The following is a 21336-nucleotide window of genomic DNA, read 5'->3' as shown; positions in this document are numbered from 1 at the left end:
ACTAGCTATACAGTAATACTCAATGCTGAAGTCAAATTCAGCATCTGGGTTTTAGATTGTGAAAGGAGCTTTTAGATGGTCATAGTGGACACATATATTCCTGCAACCATCTAAAGTAACAATGAAACTTAAAGGTATTTACCATTAAGTGCAAATACAGCACCAACTGACCCTTGCATTTTCACAAACACTCCCCAAAAATATCATTCCAAAGCTTACTCTCACTTACCTTTTCATTAAAATGTATTTCTACAAATTTCCCAAATCGACTGCTATTATTGTTGCGAACAGTCTTCGCATTTCCAAAGGCTTCTAGGAGTGGGTTAGCTATTGAGAAACAAAAAAATCCATCAAAAAATTAGCATGACGGAACATTACAAAATATGCATGGTATATCTCCATTTGTTAATATATATGTCTAGAAAAAAATGTTCTAAAAAATATTAACATGGGCGGGACACAGTGGCTCATGCCTGTAATCCCAGCACTTTGGGAGGCCGAGGCAGGTGGATCACGAGGTCAGGAGTTCGAGACCAACCTGGCCAAGATGATGAAACCCCGTCTCTACTAAAAAATACAAAAATTAGCCAGGCGTGGAGGTGCATGCCTGTAATCCCAGTTATTTGGGAGACTGAGGCAGGAGAATTACTTGAACCCGGGAGGCGGAGGTTGCGATGAGCCGAGGTCGCACCATTACACTCCAGCCTGGGCGACAAGAACAAGGCTCTGTCTCAAAAAAAAAAAAAAAAAAATTAACATGAAGGAATTCACATGTAATGCCAAATTCCACAAATATTTATTGATTACCCACTATGCTCAGGCACTATTCAAGTCCATGAGATAGGAAAATTTCTCAAATATATAACAAGAAAATATAAATGTTATAGGAAAGACTAAATTTTTAAGCCACTATGTTACAAAATTTATAACTAGACTTTAAAATTTTTTCCCTAAAAATTTTACTGTTTTATCTAGTATATCAGGCCCACAACAGTACTTAGATAAAACAGCAAACCTCTTGTGAGAAAATATAGGCAAGAGATGTATTATTTGACTTACTTTTCTAAAACATTTCACATATTAATAGTCTCCATATTTAACATTTTTACATGTATATCCAGTGAAATTTAACAAATTAAGAGTTTACAGAATTACCTAAGGCTCTCAGAATAATGGGTTTTAAAATCCTAGTGAACAAATATAATATTTTCACTGTTATTTTATAATCACCTATACACATATCATGACTGGATAAGAGTTACTAGATTCTACTCTTATACTCATCTAAATCTCAATTACAAACATACCAAATTAGTGTTAATCTTACACACATATTCTCCATCAACAAACTTAAAGTGCTTCATGATGTTCAGTGTTAAAATTTTTTTTATGAAGCATGTTCTTCCTATAATAAACATGAAGCTGGCCAGGCTTGGTGGCTCATGCCTGTAATCCCAGCACTCTGGGAGGCCGAGGCAGGCGGATCTCGAGGGCTGAAGATCGAGACCATCCTGGCTAACACGTTGAAACCCCGTCTCTACTAAAAATATAAAAAATTAGCCAGGCGTGGTGGCAGGTGCCTGTAGTCCCAGCTACATGGGAGGCTGAGGCAGGAGAATGGCGTGAACCCCGGAGGCAGAGCTTGCAGCGAGCCGAGATCGCGCCACTGCACTCCAGCCTGGGAGACAGCGATACTCCATCTCAAAAAAATAAATAAATAAAATAAAATAAATTAAAAAATAAACATGAAGTCATATTTCTTATGAAGCCTTTTCAAGCAGATTTCTCCTATTCTATCTAGAGTAGAATGCTTAACTAGTCTCTAAACTCTTTTAAAGATCATTCCCCAGCCATTTCACATGCCAAAATAAGAAAACATTAAAACTAAAAGAAATATTAACATATATCCCTCATGTTTCAGATGGGATAAAAAAACTGAAGCCAACATGGTCAGCCAGGCGCGGTGGCTCACACCTGTAATCCCAGCACTTTGGGAGGCCGAGGTGGGCGGATCATGGGGTCAGGAGTTTGAGATCAGCCTGACCAACATGGTGAAACCCCGTCTCTACTAAAAATACAAAAATTAGCCAGGCATGGTGGTGGGCACCTGTAATCCCAGCTACTCAGGAGCCTGAGGCAGGAGAATCACTTGAACCCGGGAGATGGAGGTTGAGGTGAGCCGAGATCTTGCCACTGCACGCCAGCATGGGTGAAAGAGTGAGACTCCAACTCAAAAAAAAACAAGAAGAAAAAAAAAAAAAAACCATGGTCAACTCACTCTTCAAAGTCCACATAACTGGCTGTGTTAACAAAAAGAGGACTCAATTACAGGTCTCCCCAACTCCCTTACTGATAATCTACTAGTTTTTGCTGAAGAATTTAATACAAGTAAAATATCCCAAAATAGGATAAGAACCTCTCCAACAGAAAATCATATTAATGCTACTAATAATATACTCATTCCAAAACCAGCAACTAAACTTCTATTAAGGATGGGATCAAAAGACGCTATACCCTTCTAGTTACATTTACTATTCTCCATTAAGAGGCTATTGAGCTGGGTGCAGTGGTTCACACCTGTAATACCAACACTTTGGGAGGCTGAGGCAGGCAGATCACCTGAGGTCAGGAGTTCAAGACCAGCCTGCCCAACATGGTGAAACCCCGACTCTACTAAAAAAATACAAAAATCAGCCAGGCGTGGTGGCACACACCCCTATAATCCCAGCTACTCGGTAGGATGAAGCAGCGCTATCACTTGAACTCGGGAGACAGAGGTTACAGTGAGCCAAGATCACACCACTGCACTCCAGACTCGGCGACAGAGTGAGACTCAGTCTCAAAAAAAAAAAAAAAAGAAGCTATAGAAGCACTTGGAATAACACTTTCCAACTTGTCTCCACTATAACACACTACATACTGTACAGCACATTACTGGGGAAGAAACTGGGTGTATATCCAATTATTAAGTGAGTGTGCACCTCAAGTGAGCAAATCAGAATACTAATTAGTCTTTTACTGAGGTAGCCCATAATTTGTTCTTTTTTATTAATTTATTCAGTTTTTAAGAACGACTCCCTCGCTAAAGTAAGGCACTTTACTGTGAATAAAGCATTACTTACAAGATAAGTACATATCTGGGTATGTTACAACACCACATAAAAACTGTAAATGAAACTAGGAAATTCTTTATATTAAAAAAAAACTTTACTGGTGCTCAACTTTAAAAATGTTTATTAGAGTTGTATTTAGATTGATCTACATGCAGATTTTACATCATTGTGAAAAATGCACATATCATTTGCTATGATCTAGCAAAATGCATGAACATACAAGGCCCCTAATAAGTTTTTGTTCAACCAACATTTTTCTTTAAGATGTCAAGAGCATGTGTATTGCACTCCTAGAGTCCCAGCTACTTACAAGGCTGAGGCAGGAGGATTGCTTGAGCCCAGGAGGTTGAGACCAGCCTGGGCAACATAGTGAGATGCTGTCTCTAATTTAAAAACAAAAAATGCCAAGAGAGTGTTAAAATATGCATTTACTACGGCATGTAGTTAAAATGCTTAGCTTTATATCCGAATTTCACAACTGATGAACTATATGAGCTTCAGCATATTTAAATATTATCATCTTTAAAGTAGGGATAAAATAGTTTCTAATTCATTCTGTGAAGATTTAAATTACATAACAGATTTTTAAACAAATGAGATAATGCCTAATACATCCCATATATGTTATTACCACCATTATTATTAAAAAATGCTTACTGAGTACATAGTGGGGGAAAGTAAGACAGGGAGAAGGAGAAAAAGTGTTCAGAGAAGCCTGTTTAAGACAGCTCAAAGAACTACAAGGAGCCCAATGTGATTAAAGCATAAGGAGTCAGAAGAAACATGACTCCAGGTGAGCTCAGAAGAGGCAGGAGCCAGACCACACAGAGCACTGTGGGTGATGTTATGAATCTAGGGCATGATGTTGAGAGCAATATGAAGCCATCAGATTATTTAAAGCAAAAGAAATTATTCCAGCTGGGCGCGGTGGCTCACCCCTATAATCCCAACATTCTGGGAGGCCAAGGCGGGTGGATCACTTGAGGTCAAGAGTTCAAGACCAGCCTGGCCAACATGGTGAAACCCCATCTCTACTAAAAATACAAAAATTAGCCAGATGTGGTGGTGGGCGCCTGTAATCCCAGCTACTCGGGAGGCTGAGGCAGGAGAATCACCTGAACCCAGGAGGCAGAGGTTGTAGTGAGCCAAGATCAAGCCACTGCACTCCAGCCTGGGTGACAGAGTGAGATTCCACCTCAAAAAAAAAAAAAGAAAAGAAAAAGAAAAAGAAATTATTCCAAATTCTATACAGAGACTGGATTAAGGAGAAGTAAGAATCTAAGTGAAGAGACAAAACAGGAGTCTATGATGCAGGAGGGCATCATGCAGGAGATTCAACATAATGGTAGTCTAGGCCAGCAGTCTCCAAACTGAGGTACAAGAAGACTTTCTAAGAAGGTATACAAGCATGGATAGCTTAAGGAAATCAATTTACACACTACGGCCTTCGTTAAAAAATGACTTCTCTAAAAAAGCACCTAATGCCAAATAACCCTTCTTCCTCTTTCCTTTACACAAAACAAGCTCCATAAAACAAACTGGAAGCTAAAGACATTCCTGTATTCTTTCATTCATTCAACAGATATTTATGCTCTGTATCAGTTACCATTCTAAGGGTTTGGAATATGAAACAAAAATCCCTGCCTTCTTAGTGTTTTCATGAGGTGCGGGTGGGGGCAGAAACAATTGATATTAGGTAAATAACAAGATGATATATGAGCAATGATTAGTAGGAGATAAGAGAGTCTTTTGCATCTCTGAGAGAAGAACATTCCAGACCACTAAAAGAAGTCTTGTAAATTAATTTCAGTACACGCGTAACAACTGAAAAATTAGCAATACCTTCAACAATTCTGTCATCAATATCTTGACCTGTTCCATAGGATTCAGTCAGGTATCTGTTTAAAATATAGGATAAAAAATGTTGATGACAATAATATGGTGTACAATAATTTATAATTATCTAGTACATATAAAACTGAAACCTAGATCATCATTATAACAAATGTGTAATTAAATGCAACTATTCTGTCATAGCTTTTTAAATTTATTTAAAATTCTATTTGGGGTCAGGTGTGGTGGCTCATGCCTGTAATCCCAGCATTTTGGGAGGCCAAGGAGGGTGGATTACCTGAGGTCAGGAGTTCGAGACCAGCCTGGCCAACATGGTGAAACCCCTTCTCTACTAAAATACAAAAAATTAGCCAGGCATGCTGGCATGCGCCTGTCATCCCAGCTACTCAGGAGGCTGGGGCAGGAGAATCGCTTGAACCTGGGAGGCCAAGGTTGCAGTGAACCAAAACTGCACCACTGCACTCCAGCCTGGGCGACAGAGTGAGACTCCGTTTCAAAAAAATATATATATATATTTGGTGGTACTATGCTCATTACCTCAATGATGAGATCATTCACACCCCAAACCTCTGTGTCACAAAATATACTCATAACAAACCTGCACATGTGTGGCCTGAATCTAAATGTTGAAATTATAAAAATGAAAAATAAATTCTATTTGTATTGCATTTAACATCTAATTGACATTGTTTTTTAAATTGTTTTGGGAATGTTCTGATTTTATCCAACTATTTGATTTTAAATATATCATATTCATAAACTATAGGAGATGTCAAAGCCTTTTGTGAGAGCCTATTAATTCAATCTTTGGCTACAGAAAATGAGGCAATCTGCCTCCGAACAACTGGGAAGTTATCACTATTCATGTTGTTTCACTGAAATATGAAACACAGAGAAATAACTATTTGCCTGGCACATTTCAAAATAAAGAGCAATCCTTAATTTAAAATGTAAGTTCATATTATAAGTTTATAACTCCTTAACTTTTTGTTCATTTTCATACATTAACCATAGACTCATATAGACTATTACATACAGGAAAGAAAGAAAAAGAAATTGAAACACTTAGAATCCAAGAATACTGGGAAGCATTCACTTAACCAGAATTGTGTGTATGTATATATACACATATATATAACAGCTGTTAACAAACTCTTCAATTGATTTTACATAAATAACTCTGAACAGCATACATATTTACATAATGAATAGCAAACTTTCATAGTACCACTATGCAGCAATCAACTAAGAACTATAATTCTGTGGGAGTAACACTGGTGAGTATGCTGCTCCTAGCAGTAGTTCAACCACTAGATCTAACCTCATGGGTATGTAAATTAAAAGAACTATACTACAATGAGTGTTATGATTCCTTCCATTTTTAAAATGCTATAATTCTAAACAAAGTGTAAGGCCAGGCATGGTGGCTCATGCCTGTAATCCCAGCACTTTAGGAGGTCAAAGTGGGAGCATCACTTGAGTCCAGGAGCTGGACACCAGCCTGGACAACATAGCATAACCCTGTCTCTACAAAAAAATAAAAAATTAGCCAGGATGGTGGCACATGCCTGTGGGTCCCAGTTACTTGGGAGGCTGAGGTAGGAGGATCACTTGGCCCCAGGAGGTCGAGGATGCAGTGAGCTATGATTGCACCACTGCCCTACAGCCTGGGTGACTGGGCAACAGAGCAAGACCCTGTTTTCAAAAAAAAACAAACCAAACCAAACAAACAAACAAACAAAAAAACACAATGCAGAGAGTTTAATTTAATGGCAGCAAAGAGAACACATTAGGAGGCAGACTATAGGGAAATAGAAATAAGGAGGCAAATTATCGTAAGCTTAAGGTAAAAAATGGTTTTAACCATGCTAACAACAGAAATATAGACAGAACGTAAATGTGAGATTCTTAAGGAATATTTCTAGATCACCCTTTGTCTAACCAGTACCAGTATCCTCCAAGATCCTCGTGTGAATAACATGTCAGAGCTGGCTTTCAGTAATCTATAGACTAGCTTCCATATAAGATGTCTGTATCTTAAAAAGGATAGAGCCCACCATTCCAAACTATGTCATGAAGTATGCAAAGGTATTAAAAGTCAACCTTTTCAAATTCTCAAAGAAATATTTGCACACCCATGTTCATAACAGCACTATTGACAATAGCCAAGAGGTGGAAGTAACCTAAATGTCCATTGACAAATGCATGGATAAACAAAATGTACCACAGATCTACAATAAAATAGTATTCAGCCTTAAAAAGGAAGGATGGGATCCAAAATACTAAAAAATAAAAATAAAAGGAAGGAAATTCTGACACATACTACAACATGGATGAATCTTAAGTTGAGTTAAATAAAATAGGCCAGTCACAGAAAGACAAATACTGTGTAATTTCACTTACATGAGAAATAGCTAAAGTAGTTAAATTCACAGAAAAACTGGAAAGTAGAATGGTGGTTGCTAGGTGAGTGGATAAATGGAGTTGTTGTTGCATGGGTCAAGTTTTAGTTTTCCAAGATGAAAGTTCTGGAGATGGTACAGATTGGCTGCACAACAACGTGAATATACTTAATGCTACTATGCTATACACTTAGAAATGGTTGACAACTTTTACTTAAGTATTTTTTTACCAGAAAAAAGTCAACCTGGTTGCCAAGCATGGTGGTTCATGCCTATAATCCCAGCATTTTGGGAGGCCAAGGCAGGAGGGTTGCTCAAGCCCAGCCCAGAAATTCGAAACCAGCCTAGGCAACACAGTAAGACTTCATCTCTACAAAAAAAGTAAAAGATTAGCAGGGCATGGTGGCATGTGCCTATAGTCCCAGCCATTCGGGAGAATGAGGTGGAACAGTGGCTTGAGCCCAGGAGGTCAAGGCTACAGTGAGCTGTGGTGGTGACACTGCATTCCACCCTGGGTGACACAGTAAGACCCTATCTCAAGGGGGGAAAAAAAAGATCAACCTACTCAAATACTTCAAGTTAGCTGAATACTCACCTTAGAACAAATTTTGTATTTTCTGTTTTGCCGGCTCCTGATTCTCCAGATACAATGATAGACTGACTCATCTTGAGCACCTTCATGTCTCGAAAAGCTTTATCAGCTAGGGTCAAAATAAGACATTAATGATGAGCAATATATTAAATATAAAGTTAATAATAGAAAGTTCACTTTAGGACCACTTACTCTTAAAGAAATCATAAATGTCTATTCAATGTTAATGAAATTTTAAAATAAAGTCATTCAAAAGTGTTCAAATCATTTTAAAAGTATTTACTTTAAATGTTCTATCTTATTATCCTAAAAGTTAAGTAATATGAAATCCAAATAAACAACTCTTAAGTTTCTGACAGAATGTCTTGATATTATGGGCTGTGGCTCATCTCTTCCTAATTCCAGAGCTGATCTGCAGAGGGATTAAAAAAATGGTCACTATGCATAACTAATGAAGTCCCCAGTGAAAAGCAAGAATTAATGAGCTTCCAATTAAGAAATCTAGCAACCAAAAATTCAGCTGGAAAAAAAAATACATAATGGCAACTTGGGTTTTTTTCTCTAATACAACTATTAAATTTAGAATTTGTCAACATTTTACAATTAGGCAAAATTAACAGCTTTAAATTTCCTAGATTATATCTGTGGGGTTTTTTCCTCTAATACAACTATTAAATTTACAATTTGTCAACATTTTACAACTAGGCAAAATTAACAGCTTTAAATTTCCTAGATTTGCCTCTGTTTACATATATATTTTTTAACTATCTTCATTAGACTCCAACAATTTAGGCTATAAACTGTATTAAATGTTAAGACTACACAGACAAGTTGAAAGCAATTTAATGCTGTTAAAGCAGTCTCAAATTAAGACAACTTTAATTCAAAACTAGGTCATCACAATTTGGCTCTATAAGACAACTATTTCTCACCTCAGACATGTGCCAAGAAGACTTCAGAAACGGCTTTTACTCTAAGGGGAGAATGCAAACCATATACAAGAGCGCACACATCCCTTTGTCCAATTTATCAGCAGCGCTTTTTTCTTTTTTTTTTTTTTTGAGACAGGGTATCTCTCTGTCACCCAGGTTGAAGTATAGTGGCATGACTTCACCTCACTGCAGCCTCGATCTCCTGAGCTCAAGCGATCTTCCCACCACTGCCTCCAGAGTAGCTGGGACTATAGGCAAGCACATGCCCGGCTAATTTTTTCATTTTTTTTATAGAGACAAGATTTTGCATGTTTGCCCAGGCTGGTCTTGACTTCCCAGGCTCAAGCGATCCGCCCTCCCCGAAGTGCTTGGATTACAGGCATAAGCCACCACACCCATCCTCCACACATTTTTAAAGAATCATTCCAAACACTTGTTTTTTCGCAGTAAAAAGCTAAAAATAAAAGCTAGTTTATTTACATTTTAAACATGTAACTTTTCTCCAGTGATGTTTGCTCGTATTCAGGTTCTAAGGGATGGGGCACCGTTTTGCAGGCTGCAACACAACGATGCCTGTCATAGCTTCTTCAAGCCAAAAGTAAATCTGCTGCTGCCCTGGTAGAGTAATTATGTCAGCCATATTCACTCTACCTAGTAGCAGACAACATACAGGTCAACCAAATCTGGAAGTGAACTCTGGTTAGGCCAAAACACAAGCATGAAGGGAAAGCCCAAAGAGAAACAGGATGCACTACGAACTAGTTCCAATACATGTCATTTAGCTGCTTTATGTCTGAATGCAAAGGGTTAGCTAACACCTCCGCATTTGGTGGGAAGAGGGGTAATTGCTCATTCTGATCTAAAACCTCCAACCTCTATGACTCAGAGCTGGAGGACTTCAAAATAAAAGAGGCTGAGAAAGGCAAAGAGACACTACTGTCTTCCCACATAGATTCTCCAGTGGTATGAAGCATATACTACTTTTAATCCTTTAATTTTATAAACCCCTGATGCAAGATGATGCCCAGAAGTCTGCTCTTACAGCTGAAATCTAGCCCAAGTAACACACTCATAAGGGATGAGCTGGGTAAGAGATGAAGGCCAGAACCTCAAAATTGTGAAGGAGGACAATTTTAAGATGGAGCTGATGGTATTAAAAAGTCTAAAAGTACCATTAGGTCAGCTTTTATTATATCCTGCTTTCACCTGGGCAGACATCTCTTAGAGGACACAGGCATTTAACACAGATAATGATGTATGGTAAGCCTGCCCCATTAGTTGACTACAAAAGTATTCTTCCTCACCCTGTGTAAAATACTTGCTCCTAACAATGTTGATATATCCAAGAGGTATACAGTTTCTCCAAAATATATATTCAATTTATGGTATCTTTTATTAATCCAAAAGAAAAATTGAGTAAATTTGTACAATATAAAGAAAGACAAGAATTAAAATACATTTAAAATCACTTACCAATTGCAAAGACATGAGGTGGTCTTGTCCCAAGAGATTTTCCTTGATATGACTTTATTGCTTCTGAAGAATATATTTTAGGTATGTCAAAGTATGGATTCACTGCAATCAGAATGTTGGCGACATATGTCTAAATACGAAAAGCATAAACATAAAATATTCCAATTACTATTTTCATTTAAAGATAAACAAAGCTCATAGAAAAAATAAAATACAAAAAATTTCAATTATCTATATAACTAAGACTCCCAAATCAGTCCTAAATATTCCCTGAGTATTCCCTGATCTTTATAGGGACCCATATTTCTCCAATTCTTAATAAATATTTGTATCTTACCAACCCATAGGCACCTTTAGTTCGGCATATCCAAACTCAAGATTATCTCTTCCCACCTACCTCTGCCTCAAAGAAAATATTATCCTTCCATGTGCTTCCTCAGGGACATGGCATCACCACCAAGTCACCACAGACAGAAATCTGAGTCTCTAGCTCTATCTCATTCAGCCTTCTCCTGTTGACTCTACTTATGAAATCTCCTACCGCTAAGTTTTAGTCATTTGTATTCCTTACCTACTGTATTCACCCTGCTACTAAGGAGTTTAATACAGCTCGTAGCACCTTCTGGGCCCATCCCTATCACTGAATGCCAAGGATTGATTTAGCTCTGTAGTGACCATTTGGTCCCAGATTTCTTCCAAACAATATATGTTAACCATTGCCTAGAACATTTATGGGTTAAATGTTTAATGAGCAACTTAAGCTTGCTTTTAATTTTGGAATTTAGCACATATTAGATACTCAACATGAGTCAGCTGATTGAGTAAATTTTGCCTCTAAATATATTTCTAATCAAGAATAGCCACATTTAAACTTAAATATGTTCTTTATTTAGTTGATTTTGAAAAAATCAGGGAGAAAAGTCTTAAAACTACATATAACTAGAAGATGGCAAGTATACTCTTTTGGAATAGAATAAATAAGTTCTATCTCCCAGCTGTCACTACTTGGACAGATGGCAGAGACTAAATGTAATTTAGTCAGAATTAAGTAAGTACAATTAGGCAAACTGATAGTGATATAATAGATTAAGACTGTCATTTGATCTAGTAAGTGTCAAAGAAGCCATGTGTTTTCTTCGTTCAAAAATAATGAACAGCCCCATCTTTATAACAGGAGAACTACAGTGGGGTAATTTATCTCCAGTCACCAAAGGACTACACAGTTAGGTGATACTGGAATAAAGTCTCATGCATGCCCAAAGAATAATTATAATTAAAACATACTAGGTTAAGTATCCATCTGAATGATTTGGTGTAAACCTTGACTATTTACACTGAAAGCATTTTCTTTCATTTTTGAATATTCTGGACTTTCAAGGTAGAGTACCTACGGTCTAATGAAATTCAGCAACTATTTAGGCTCTATGGTCAGCATTCCTGTGTTCTTAGTATTTCCTCAGATACTACCTCCTATTCTGATTTACATTTTTTTCCTCATTCAAATTTTTAATTTCAATATACATTCCTTATAGGCTGCCTTACATTGTCTTCCAAACAATGTGGAAAGTGAATCAAACATATCTACAGACATACCAGAAGTCAAAAATCAAAACCAAAAACCATTACAGTGCTTTTAAAAATACTCAAACTGGACATTTTTAAGTCCAAAAGATATTAAACGACACTCTGAATTCATTATTTCATCCCACAAATACTGATTAAGTGCTTTCTGTGTACCAGGCATGCTTTAACTCCTAGAGTTCGAGTTGTAAATTAGAAAAAAATCTTTGTCCTCACTAACCTCACACTCTATTCAAGAGGCTCAGATCAAGCATGATTTTCTGTTAGACAATTTCAAGCGTGACAAAATCAAAGAGTACCACATGAAATAATTATCTCCACAAAAACTTACACTACAGGTAAAATACTTACATAAATTCTGTCTTTACTATATCGAACTTTGATATTATGGAGCAGTGTGGCTTCATTTAAATACATTAGTGAACCTAAGACATAAAATTTATATGTCATTAGAGAATTGAAGAAAACAAATAAAATAAAGCAATACTATCTTAATCTGAATCACTTTGACTCATCCTAAAAATCAATTGTTAGGTTACATTTAACTCCATCTTTTTTAAAACCCTGGCTGATGTAAACCCTAGAAGCTGATTTAAAAGCGATTCAGTTTACATGTGTGTTACAGTGATATTTTTAAGTAATGAATTTTCAACTAAAAGAGTAAACCTAGTGAGTACTCATTAATGAAGGTTGATTAAAAAGCACAATTCAAGAGGGAAAAAAGTACTACAATAGATAGCTCTGATTTTAATATACTTCTGACACAACAAAGTGATGACACCAATCCAATCTGATACTCAGAATTTCACAGATAAAACACAAAAGATAAAATTTTAGAATGGGAACAGACCATCAAATCATTCAGGGAGTCCTTCACAACTGACATAATGAAGACTCCTAGAGAAATTATGTATGTCTTAACTGAGAATATGAAGCTAATTAATGGGAGAGTTTGAACAGATAAATCTTGTTTGTGTGACATCTGCTCTACTGAAGTGTCAGAACTGACTCCCAATCTATTCTCCAAGTCCTTCAATCTCCTGAGCTCCATTTCTATGCCTTGCTAGAGTAGACAAAAACCACTCCTCTTCTCAACCACCTTGTTTCTGTTATTAGCACCACCATTTTCTCTGTCACTGAAATTGTAAACCTTAGTCAACACTAAAATCATCTTCTCTCTCCCTCCTTATTCTAAACCAGTTTCCAAATCTTTATGCCATGTAAGAAAGTACAGCACAGTGCCAGCTCATGGCAGGTACTCAAAGCATAATCTGAATCTCTCAACCTATCTCCTTTCTTTCCATTTCTACTGCTCCAATACCAGTTTAGTTCTCATTACCTCTTTTGTGATCATGGTAGCCTCTTATTTACCTATTGCCTCAGTCTCTCTCCTCTCTAATCCAGACTTCTCAGCACATTAACTAAAGTAGAGCCCTCATCAAATCTCTCTCCCCATAAAATCATCACTGGGTCTCTATCAACATCCAAATTCATGTCTGATCAGAGCTCTTAATAAACCTACATTCATGACCTTTTCATATAATTTTCCACAATTCACCTTAATACTAACTCATAGACAGACTGAACTATTTATTAGATGCAGGTATCATTCATCTATCGGCTTCCATGTAGAATATCCTCTACATTTCTAGGTGTCAAAAACCTACCTACTCTTTAAGGTCAGTACAAAGGTTACCCTACAAATGACACTTACCCATTCTCACCACCACCACTACAACTACTATCTTTGCAATTTCTTTATGGTTCTTACCACACACTGCCAGTGTTATTATGATAATTTTACATATCTGGTTTTGTCTACTAAATCAGATCCTTGGGGGCAAGATGCTGCCTGATTCATTTGTTTGATCCCTCATTGAAACTGCTCATGTGCCTACACTGCATGTATGTCTAACATACTATTCAACACCTAACCAATGGTGTCAAACAAGAGCCTCTTGCCATAACTACCTCCACAGACTGCCCATCCATCTATAATCATTTAATGCAGCCAGTTCACTTTCACCTCACTGCTTTTTTTTTTCTTTTTTTGAGACAAAATCTCACTCTGTTGCCAAGGCTGGAGTGCAGTGGCACGATCTCAGCTCACTGTAACCTCCACCTCCTGGGTTCAAGCGATTCTCCTGCCTCAGTCACCTCACTGCTTTCTAGTGCCACTTAGGGCAGAATAAAAGAGAGTAAGAAGTGGGTAGAGGCTCCTAACAGCTGAATGGCAGCTTTCCTTTGAATTAAGGAAGGATATAGAGAGGGTTAGGCAGCAGAGGTATTAATATATCTGGTTTGGGTATGAGGTCACCTACCTTTCTATATCCCTAATCTTCCATCCTTGTCCCCTGGAGCCTGGTCTACACGTTCCTCTTTCTTTACCCAAAGCACTCTGTTGAACCACTCCCCATCTCTCTCACTTTCCTCTGAAATACCTGGTTGCATGATGTTGTCACTGCTTCCTCTAAGTAAAAACTCGTAATCCTACAGTACGCTTCCCCTGTGAACGCTAATCATATAAGCCTACACAGACATGGGAATTACTACTTGCTCTCCTATCTTTACTCCTTCCACACTCACCACCTACCTTTTCAGGGATGTGTGTTTATTAAACCAAATAAATTCCTAACTGATGAAGTATCTGCTGATGACAATAAGAATTTGGACAGGAGGGTATTCCTCTGAAATCATGCCACACAGGCCATTCCATTTTCAAGAAGACACAGAAAAAGAGAGAGGGAGAGGAAAATATTTGCAACCCTGTCTTGCCAGAATGTGAAATGCTAAGTCCCAACTGCCTACATCTCCCTAAAGGTATGACCTAGGTATGTCCACAAGGGCCTCACAAATAACTTCCTGCTCTACCAAATAATTCCTTCCTCCTGTCCTTTCCTAGTAGTCAGTCCTAGGATTACTTGGCTTGGCTATTTACATGCAACTCTTTATGTAAACTGTTTACCTTTTATGCCTAATTATTAACAGATTTAACTATACCCAAAAGAATATTAAAATTTTGAAACAATTTAACATAAGACATATAACAAAATATTTGAATAAACAATTAGTTTCTTTATAAACACTGTTTTAATAAATAAATATATAACATATACAAAAGTTTCTAATGAAGATTAGGTATGACTTCATTATTAAATTTAGATATCTGACTAGAGAGTTATCTGAGCATTTAAGATCCTGTTTAATCATTACAGCTCTGGCTCACTAAAAGAAAAAAAGAACCCACAAACAACTTCAACACAGAAGTCAATCAATTCTAAATATATGTTGTTGTAGAAGTCATTCCATTACAGAAAAAGAGACTGAGGCAACTTTTAGAATTCTTTCCAATTTTATTTATTTATTATTTAGAGACAGAGCTTCACTCTTGTCACCCAGGCTGTAGTGCAACAGCGTGATCTCGGCTCACTGCAATCTCCGCCTCCTGGGTTCAAGGGAGTCTCCTGCCTCGGCCTCCCAAGTAGTTGGGATTACCGGCGCCCACCACCATGCTCAACTAATTTTTGTACTTTTAGTAGAGACAGGGTTTCACCATGTTGGCCAGGCTGGTCTCAAAGTCCTGACCTCAGGTGATCCACCCATCTCAGCTTCCCAAAGTGCTGGGATTACAGGAGTGGGCCACTGCGCCCGGTTTCTTTCCAATTTTATACTCTATACTTTATTATTATCAACATCTAATAGACAATAATTCACGAAGAACATTATGTGCCATGAAAGTCATGGTAGCTCAAAATCAGCATGGAAAAATGCTATTATTTTCCTTTTAATTACTGACTTCACACGCCCAATTTTCCTATTCTTGTGACAATAAGCAACAGTCAAACAGCAAAATTAACATACTAATTTCTACATATAAAACCCTTCACATAGAAAACTCAGAGCTATAGCTCGGTGCAGTGGCTTACGCCTATAATCCCAGCACTTTGGGAGCCCAAGGCAGGCAGATCATCTGAGGTCAGGAGTTTGAGACCAACCTGGCCAACATAGTGAACCCAATCTCTACTAAAAATACAAAAATTAGCTGGACATGGTGGTGCACACGTGTAGTCACAGCTACTCAGAAGGCTGAAGCAGAAGAATTGCTGGAACCCGGGAGGCGAAGGTTGCAGTGAGCTGAGATCACACCACTGCACTCCAGTCTGGGTGACAGAGCGAGACTGTCTCAAAAAAAAAAAAAAAAATTTAGACCGAAAAGTAGGTAATAAGTGTTGCTACACTGTTAAGGCACTGTTAAGGCACTACTTCTGTTTCAGTAGAACCTTCAACACATACTTCAGAACACTCTCTACAGGCATCAATCATTTAATCTTCACATTACCATAATATAAAGAAGAAAAGAATTTTAGAAATATGCATGTGAGACCCTGTGTGTGTGTGCATGTGTGTGTGTGTGCAAGTGTATAACACAAAGCTACCACTATAGCTTTGTGTTACAGTGTGTCATTCAGCAGAGGACAGTGGTATGGTGGCATGCCTCAGATGAAAGTACTAAGTGACAGAACCACTGCAGCTGGAAACCCTACATTCTAAACTCAACAACCAAAGTTGTGTTAATAATGTGGTTTCAGAAAAGTGTCTTCAGTAGGGATGGGCTACTATCTTATGAGAATAGTTAACACCCACACATTAACACTGCTGCCATCTGGCATCACCAAGGAAACCACCTGCCAGAGGCAGCAAATACTGAGGTTGCAAAAATTTGTAAGTTAGACAAGCATAGCAAGACAAAGCAAATGGAGAGAGAATGTTTTAAAATATTAATTTAAGAAATGGATTAAAAACTATTCAAAACCATTTGTCACATTTAGAGACATACACATTAATAAATGAAAAGGATTGATTCCCAGTTCTGCACACCCTAGCAAGTTTTAACAGCACAAAAATTTGTATTTTAGATATGGTACAGTCTCATTCCTTATTATTTTATTCTGATTGCTATTCAAAAATGTATTATTTAATCAGACAAACTCTCCAGCAATTTTGGAAAGGAAGGGAATTCTACATTTTTTTCCTCAATCTCTTGCACCTAATAAAAACAGCTACCATTTATTAAGAGTCATTAGATGCTGTGCAAAGCACTTTATATCATCTCTAATCATACAACATACACATTACTTCCATTCTACAGATGAGAATTTCAGAAGAGAGACGAAATGCCCACGAGCAGACAGCCTCCTAACAACATAGAATCAGAATTTAGGCTTGCCTAACTCTACAGTTACAGTCCATGGCTCCCCATTACTCCCACTAGTCTATGCTGCCACCATTCTACATATGGGGGTTTTATAGTCTTACTCAAATGTGAATTCCAGAGAAAATCAATAATAACACATCTATTCCTTTCTCTTACCTTTTCTTCTCAAATGGAGAGTTTTTAGTATTAGGTACCTTGACAACTGTACATAATTGTTAACACTACCTTTTTTTGTTAAATGGAGAGTTGTTAGTGTCAAGTACCTTTAATGAAATCCATGACAAGTGTACATAATTGTTAACACTGCTGCCCCCAATATGAAATGATTACTGCTTAATCTTAAAAATGTAAGAATAAACATTGGCCTGTTCCATCGAGAAGAGCTTTTTTCATCAAACATGCAAAGATGTTATAAGTCAAATTAATGCTGTGTTTTAATATAATTGTTCTGAAATTAATTTTTCAATTAGTAATTATATAGAATTTTTTTAAATGCATGTTTGCTTCAAACGGTGATGTTAAATGACTCCTACTGACTCAACTTCCAAATTACTGAACCACATATACTACAATAAAAACCACCTGACTCTAAATAAGGTTCAATAACTTTCAAAACTGTTAACAAGAGACTTTTAGTTCAAGCCTTACAGTAATTACCATTCCCCACATTTATGCAACTCAAATAACACCAAAAGAACACTCAAGACTCTTTCACCAAAATGCAAATGTGAGACAACATGGAGGACTCGAGTTCCTTCATTCACATGAATATTCATGTCAAAAGACTAGATTGTTTCTGAACCCGCACAGTGTATCAGTTATATAACCACTAATTTATTTTTTTAAAAGAACAGTCTCCTTTTCTGTGCGGAGAGTTAATTTTTAACTTGGTACTTACAGTTATCTTCCACATCTTTTTTACTGTCCTCTTCTGCAGGAAACACTTGGTTTATGAGAGCCAAAAATGTCTAACAAGCAAAACAAATGCTCATTAAACTCAAGGCTTTTAAATAGTAAGAACAATAGAAGGGCTTAATTGGTTGCATACACTGTAATAGTGGCAACAATATGCTCTTTATTAAAATATAATACAGATAATACTATTTAACAAGTCATTAACCCCAAAACAGAACAATAACTTTACTCAAAAATATTATCTACTATTACTGTGGACATGAAATCAACAATAAAAATCAGTAAGTAAGTATCCTAGGCTCCAACACCTAAAGAAGGACAAAAAAAGAGGTATATTAATATTAAATTTACATACATATGCTATTTAACAAATTTTTTTAAATAAAATGTTAATGTGGTAGATACAGCAATTTCAGTGTTTTAAAAAAGGAAAAAGTAACCGGGCACAGTGGCTCATGCCTATAATCCCAACACTTTGGGAGGCCGAGGCGGGTGGATCATCCGAGGTCAGGAGTTTGAAACTAGCCTGGCCAACATGGTAGAACTCCGTCTCTACTAAAAATACAAAAATTAGCCAGGCGTGATGCAGCACCCCTGTAATCCCAGCTACTGGGGAGGCTGAGGCAGGAGAATCCCTTGAACCCAGGAGGTGGAGGATGCAGTGAGCCGAGATCATGCCATTGCACTCCACCCTGGAAGACAAGAGTGAAATTCCATCTCAAAAAAAAAAGACAGAAAAAAATTCCATCTCAAAAAAAAAAGACAGAAAAAAATAACATTCAATCAGATAACCAGAGGGTTATATTAATAGCTATTGTTTCAGTAAAATATATTTGACACAAACTCCTGTACAAAAATCTGTCAGAAATATAAAAAATACCAAAAAATATTTCGTCTGTAAAATTACAAGTATCCATGAATACTTATATTTATTTTATCACTTAAATGCTAGAGTAACACTGCAGAATTAAGATAACATCTCATAAGAGAGAACAAATGATCTCAAATGACATCCAAAGAGAATTAAATTTTAATCCATGCCATTCTCACAGTTATTTATAAGCTGATACAGTACTTCTCAAACAATGACAATTACTCTTGTGGCTGAAGTTTCTAATTGTATCAAAGAAAACTGCAGGGAAAAATGGTTCAATTATTTTAAAATAATATTTATAGGGGTGTGTGTGTGTGTGTTTGTGTGTGTGTGTGTAAAGCTACAACTATAATGAGTAAAATCCACGCTGCTGGGACTACCTCAATTCTAAGTCACACCCAATGTAGAAAACTGTTATGCCATAGAAACTCTGGAAGTTAATTACTTGGAACCCAGTACACATGTTGTTAATGTTATAAATGTGGAGAAGTTTGTAGGACAGGCCACAAAAGCAAAATTAACCCATCATGTGCATTAAGTATATTAATGGTAATATAAAACAAGCCACAATTTATAATAATGATTCTATAGGAAAATGCATTCAGAAATAACTGCTAATGTCATATATGTATGTGCCCAACTTTCACAGCCATGGCAAGAGGGTTACGGGCTCCCCAGACTTCAGGGTTTAGCTCTGCCTGGTAGGAGCCATGTCAAATTAAAAAGGTTCCAAGAAGTTAGATGATGAGGGGAGTGGGGATGAGGGGAGGCCAATGACAAAGAGTTGCTGGAATGAGAAAGTTAAGAGCAGGCTAAAAGGCCAGTAAGGAGTCCTGAAAGGTGTTTTCTCTCCCTCCTTCTTTATTCTTTAAATTATCACCACCCCATCTTCCTCTCTCCTTAAAATGTTTCATTAATTGTTTTCTCTTAGAAGAAGGAGGCTTTTTTCTGCTAAAAACATATCTTGATCACTCAGCATTAAACACCTACCACAAGTCAAATACAGAGCATCAAGCTCTAATGACAGAATAAAATAGCCCCTGCACTTGAGAAGATTACATAGTCTAGTAGGGAGGGAGAGACAAAGTAAACAATTATCTCCAACAAAGAGTAAAGGAAAGCTAAGAATTTATACCACTCCTCAAAGGAAAAAGTAGTCAACAGTCAATTCTACTGAATGGGGGGGAGGGAGAGATTGGGTATCTGTAGAAAAACTTCATAAACAAGGTGACCTCAATCAGAGTCTTAAAAGAAAAATAAGTAGTTTCTAAGCAAAAGGATATGGAGATTGGCCAGGTGCGGTGGCTCACACCTGTAGTCCCTGTACTTTGGGAGCCCCAGGCAGGTGGATCACCTGAGGTCAGGAGTTTGAGAAAAACCTGGCCAACATGATGAAACCCCATCTCTACTAAAAATACAACAAATTAGCCAGACATGGTGGTGGGCACCTGTAATCCCAGCTACTCGGGAGGCTGAGGCAGGAGAATCGCCCAAACCCGGGAGGCAGAGGTTGCAGTGAGCCAAGATTATGCCACTGCACTCCAGCCTGGGCGACAATAGCAAAACTCCAACTCAAAAATAAATAAATAAAATAAAGAGCAGGTATGGATAGTGGCACTCCAGGCAGGAGCAATGTTAGCAATGACACAAAGCACATAACATCACCTGGGGTATGGTAAGGACTTAATACTTGCAGAAGAGAAGGAGAAAGAGGCACACAAGAGTAAGAGTATGAAGGGGAGACTTGGTTGACACAACAGAAGACCAGCAAAGCAGACAGGGAAAAGAAAATGCAGACCCTTCTATGCCATAAATTTAGGGCTTCAGCCTACAAGGCTTCAGAGCGGCTTCTTACCACTGCTGCAAATACAGAATATGAAACCAATTTAGTGGATTAAAATAGCTTTCTTTTTTTTTGAGACAGGATCTCACTCTGTCACCCAGGCTAGAGTGCAGTGGCACAATCACAGCTCACTGCAGCCTTGACCTGCTGGCTTAAGTGCACTTCAGCCACCAGAGTAGCTAAAACAGGCATGTACCACCACACCCAGCTAATTTTTTAAATTTTTTGTAGAGATGAGGTCTCACTATGTCGCCCAGGCTAGTCTCAAATTCCTGAGCTCAAGCAATCCTCCCTCCTTGGACTCCCAAAGTTCTAGGATTACAGGCATGAGCCACTGCAGCTAGCCTAAAACAGCATTTTTAAAAGAATAAAAGTTATTAGAAATTATCAAAATGCATAGCATGTGCTAAGAATGTTTCTTTTGATCAACTGTTTCATTTATAAGTAAACACACACAAACACTACACACACAGTTGTTGAAATGTAAAATTTATTTCTTATAAATTCACACACATAAATACACATAGCTAATGCAATGTGAA

General features: G+C 37.4%; 1 protein-coding gene across 17 annotated transcripts in view, besides 3 other annotated features; it reads right to left on the bottom strand.

The window, feature by feature from the left end:
- MYO6 (myosin VI) overlaps positions 1 to 21336 on the bottom strand; it is a 170299-nt gene that overhangs the window by 78626 nt on the left and 70337 nt on the right. For 15 of the 17 annotated variants that reach the window (NR_160538.1, NM_001368865.1, NM_001368866.1 and 12 more), the window contains 6 exons: positions 18061 to 18130; positions 12299 to 12372; positions 10367 to 10496; positions 7965 to 8070; positions 4956 to 5011; positions 230 to 327 (listed from right to left, as the gene is read on the bottom strand). Coding sequence is in view for 15 of the 17 variants with exons in the window: in NM_001368865.1 (NP_001355794.1) it covers positions 230 to 327; positions 4956 to 5011; positions 7965 to 8070; positions 10367 to 10496; positions 12299 to 12372; positions 18061 to 18130 (534 nt within the window). In the remaining 2 variants the exon portion in view is untranslated. Of the gene's footprint in view, positions 1 to 229; positions 328 to 4955; positions 5012 to 7964; positions 8071 to 10366; positions 10497 to 12298; positions 12373 to 18060; positions 18131 to 21039; positions 21140 to 21336 lie in introns of all 17 variants that reach the window. The other 2 variants (NR_160539.1, NM_001368138.1) reach the window with 2 other exon arrangements.
- Positions 9655 to 9794: a silencer, noted in NCBI's record as "silent region_17343". NCBI's record gives its function as "represses an Ori minimal core promoter by ATAC-STARR-seq in GM12878 lymphoblastoid cells {active_cell/tissue: GM12878}" and the evidence as "EXISTENCE:reporter gene assay evidence [ECO:0000049][PMID:35858748]".
- Positions 19930 to 20430: an enhancer, noted in NCBI's record as "H3K4me1 hESC enhancer chr6:76530199-76530699 (GRCh37/hg19 assembly coordinates)". NCBI's record gives its function as "activates a minimal SCP1, AML or CMV promoter by ChIP-STARR-seq in primed H9 embryonic stem cells {active_cell/tissue: H9 hESC(primed)}" and the evidence as "EXISTENCE:reporter gene assay evidence [ECO:0000049][PMID:30033119]".
- Positions 20431 to 20931: an enhancer, noted in NCBI's record as "H3K4me1 hESC enhancer chr6:76529698-76530198 (GRCh37/hg19 assembly coordinates)". NCBI's record gives its function as "activates a minimal SCP1, AML or CMV promoter by ChIP-STARR-seq in primed H9 embryonic stem cells {active_cell/tissue: H9 hESC(primed)}" and the evidence as "EXISTENCE:reporter gene assay evidence [ECO:0000049][PMID:30033119]".

This window comes from Homo sapiens, chromosome 6, assembly GCF_000001405.40.
Source record: "Homo sapiens chromosome 6, GRCh38.p14 Primary Assembly".
NCBI lineage: Eukaryota > Metazoa > Chordata > Mammalia > Primates > Hominidae > Homo > Homo sapiens.
Note: the sequence above shows the minus strand (reverse complement) of the source record. Positions and strands in the feature narration are given on the sequence as shown.